A 3,737-nucleotide genomic window follows, 5' to 3' on the forward strand; every position below is an offset into this window, starting at 1 on the left:
AGAAAGAACCTAGGTAGATGTGCTGGTACGAAACTATGGAGAGCACTTCATACTAGGACAGGGCATCAGAATATTCAAGAGGGTAGTATGGCATGCCGTTTAAAGTATAATCTGAAAAGCTGGGTTCAAGTCTAGGTGATGTTGCCAATCAACTGTGAGTTTGGGGGAAAGTTTCTTGCACTTATTTCTTCAGGTATAAAGTGGGAATTCCAATAGTACCCATTCTCAAGGCACATGTGGGTACACAAGACAATACATGATTAATAATACTGGCCTGAGCCAGGCACTGTGATACAAGGGAGCACTAAAGATTTAGGGGAGCAAAGCACATTCAATTCCTGTTTTCAGGGGTTTAGGTTAAGAAGTTTGGGATTTAATCTGTTGGGTGAAAGGCAGCCCCTTTTTATTTGTTTTAAACAGAGAAGTATTGAGATGAAAACTGACTTGGAGGTAAATAATTCACTAGTCATGTAGTGGAATATTTGTATAGGGTAGCAACAGCTAAAGGTAATACCAACAAGGGGCTTTATAGCAGAAATGTTAGAATGACTTTCTAGCTAAGAGTGATAAAAGATCAAAACTGTGGATCCAAAGGAATGCCCATCATTTGCATGTTTGCCTGAGATCTGAAGTAGTAAAATGGAGAGGAACATCATAGTTAAAAGGGCACATACTCCTCCTGTGGAATTTTACCTTTTTTGCTTTTTAGACTTCATAGTCATTATCTATATGCACTAAAGAAATAAGAAACCATTTACTGACTTATGTCTTAATTCTCCTGAGATTGGACAGTTGATTATAACAACTGAGCAGCAAACTACTTCTATCAAAAGCAAGAATAAACCAGGCAAATCAAAACAATTTGTGTGAGCCGTTAAATAAGAAAAAAGAGTAAGTTAATGGAAAGAACACAGAGCTGGAAGCTCAGTAAATCTGGCCTGAGTCTTACTGCTGCCATTGCCTCCTTGAAAAAAAAAATCACTCTTTTCTGGGTCTTAGTGTCTTCCACATGAAGATACAGAACCCAAGGTTTTCAAAAGTCCTCCTCAGTTGATCTCATAGAAGTAGAAAATAGGATAGTGGTTACCAGAGGCTGGGGGATAGGGGTTAGATGGGAAGAGGGTGGCCAACAGGTACAAAGTTACAGTTCGATAGGAAGAAGAAATTCTGGTGTTCTTTCACACACTAGGGTGACTATAGCTAATAACAGTTGTTAAATCAAGTTTAGCCTAAAGCTGTCTTCTTACCTACTTAAGTTCAGCCTAAAGGTTTTTCTGTACATTGTGAACTATATAACACATGGAGGTATAAACAGACTGAGTAGCCTACACTTGTGCCAATCACCAAGTTTTGGCCAAACAAAACTCCAACCATGTTGGTCAACTGCTCCAACCATGTTCGAATAAGGCAAATGTTGAGCTGTAATCAATCCAGTTGTTTCTGTACCTCACTTCCGTGTTCTGCATGTCTTTCCTTTTTCTGTCCAGAAATCTTCTCCCACCATGTGCCTGCACTGGAGTCTCTGGACCTATTCTGGTTCGAAAGACTTTCCAATTCATGAATCGTTGATTGTTCAATTAAACTCTTTTAAATCTAATTTCGCTGAAGTATTTTCTTTTAGCACAGTATATTATACACTACAAGATAGCTAGAAGAAGGCTGGGCACGGTGGCTCACGCCTATAATCCCAGCACTTTGGGAGGCCAAGGTGGGCAGATCACCTGAGGTCAGGAGTTCAAGACCAGCCTGGCCAACATGATGAAATCCTGTCTCCACTAAAAATGCAAAAATTAGCTGGGCGTGGTGGCGCATGCCTGTAATCTCTGCTACTCAGAAGGCTGAGGCATGAGAATCACTTAAACCTGGGAGGTGGAGGTTGCAGTGAGTTCAGATTGTGTCACTGCACTCCAGCCTGGGCAACAGAACAAGACTCAGTCTCAAATAATAATAAATAATTAATAGTAATATAACTAGAAGAGAATTTTCAATTTATCACCACAAAGAAATGGTAAATGTTTAAAGTGATAGATATGCTAATTACCCCAATTTCATCATTATACAATGCACATATGCATTGAAACACCACACTGCACCCCATTAATATGTCATTATGTGTCCACTGTAAATAAAAGTTTAGAAATGTAAAAAAAAAAAGTCCTCCTAGCTCCCAAATTCCAGAATTCTATTACATAACTCAAAGAGCCATTCCAGCCAACAGGGTGTGGTAGCTCACACCTGTAATCCCAGCACTTTGGGCGGCCGAGGAGGGCGGATCACAAGGTCAGGAGATTGAGACCATTCTGGCTAACACTGTGAAACGCCGTCTCTACTAAAAATACAAAAAAATTAGCCAGGCGTGGTGGTGGGCGTCTGTAGTCCCAGCTGCTGGGAAGGCTGAGGCAGGAGAATGGCGTGAACCCGCCAGGCGGAGCTTGCAGTGAGCGGAGATCGCGCCACTGCACTCCAGCCTGGGCGACAGAGCGAGACTCCGTCTCAAAAAAAAAAAAAAGCCATTCCAAACCATCTACTCTTGTAGAGAGAATTGTTATGTTCTCTTGAAGGTTAGCATCATTTTCAGCTCTTTTGATATGGGAGGGGGGCAGGGAAAAGCTGGATAGAGAAAGGCGGGTCCCTGGCTAGGGCTCCACCCTCGGGCCTGTGCCTAAGGACCTAGGTCAGGACAGGCACTCCTCCCTTCACACCAAAATGTTACATCTCCCAAGACCACCCTGTCCTGCCACAACCCGATCCTGTGCCTATAAAAACCCCGAGACCCTAGTGGGCAGACACACATGAGGCTGGACGTCGAGAGAAACACATCAGCGGAAGAACACACAAGCGGCTGGACATCGAAAGGACGTCTAGGGTAGCATGCCAGCGAAAGAACACACTGATAGACGCTGGCAGGCCGGCAGGCCAGCAGGCCATCCACTGGCGGAATGACGTGGAGATTGGTCAAGGCAGACAGAAGGGAGCCCGGACCGCTGAGTGGCCCAACTCCAGGGGAAAACCACCTTCCCACTCCCTCCCGCTTCTGTCCTCCCCATCCACCTTGCTGAAAGCTTCTACCATTCAATAAAACCTTGCACTCATTCTCCAAGCTCACGTGTGATCTGATGCTTCCAGTACACCAAGGCAAGAACCCTAGCATACAGAAAGCCCTCTGTTTTTGCGATAAGGCAGAGGGTCTAATTGAGCTAACACAAGCCGCCTATGGACAGTTAAACTAAAAGAGCACCCTGTAACACGCCCACTGGGGCTTCAGGAGCTGTAATCATTCACCCCTAGACACTGCTGTGGGGTCAGACCCCCTCATTCTGCTAGCCTGTATGCTCCCCCTAGAGGTTTGAGCAGGGGGGCACTGAAGAGGCCAGCCACTCCCCCTGTCACATGCCTGCGGGGGACAAGGGAACCTTTCCGGTTTCAATTACTTACATAATTTCACTTACTTACATATTCACTTACCTACATAAAATACATATAAGTAACACAGTATTTTTCCAGTGGCATGTGGGAGCCAGACATAGGTGCAGCCTACTGTTAAATTTTTAGAAGTATCGAAAGCCAGTTGACGTTAGGCTATGAAGTTAGAACTGATCATGCTGGGATCATTTGTACCCTATACCTTTTCAAATGCTCCACATAATGCCTTTGTTTTTGAGTTTTATTTTGTTTTGTTCGCCTTTGGAAAGCCAGTTTTTAAACATTTATCAGCGCACCACTAGTCCTCCTTGAGT

At 44.1% G+C, this 3,737-nt stretch overlaps 1 annotated feature.

The window, feature by feature from the left end:
* Positions 2,661–3,361: an enhancer, noted in NCBI's record as "H3K4me1 hESC enhancer chr4:112596428-112597128 (GRCh37/hg19 assembly coordinates)". NCBI's record gives its function as "activates a minimal SCP1, AML or CMV promoter by ChIP-STARR-seq in primed H9 embryonic stem cells {active_cell/tissue: H9 hESC(primed)}" and the evidence as "EXISTENCE:reporter gene assay evidence [ECO:0000049][PMID:30033119]".

This window comes from Homo sapiens, chromosome 4, assembly GCF_000001405.40.
Source record: "Homo sapiens chromosome 4, GRCh38.p14 Primary Assembly".
Taxonomy (NCBI): domain Eukaryota; kingdom Metazoa; phylum Chordata; class Mammalia; order Primates; family Hominidae; genus Homo; species Homo sapiens.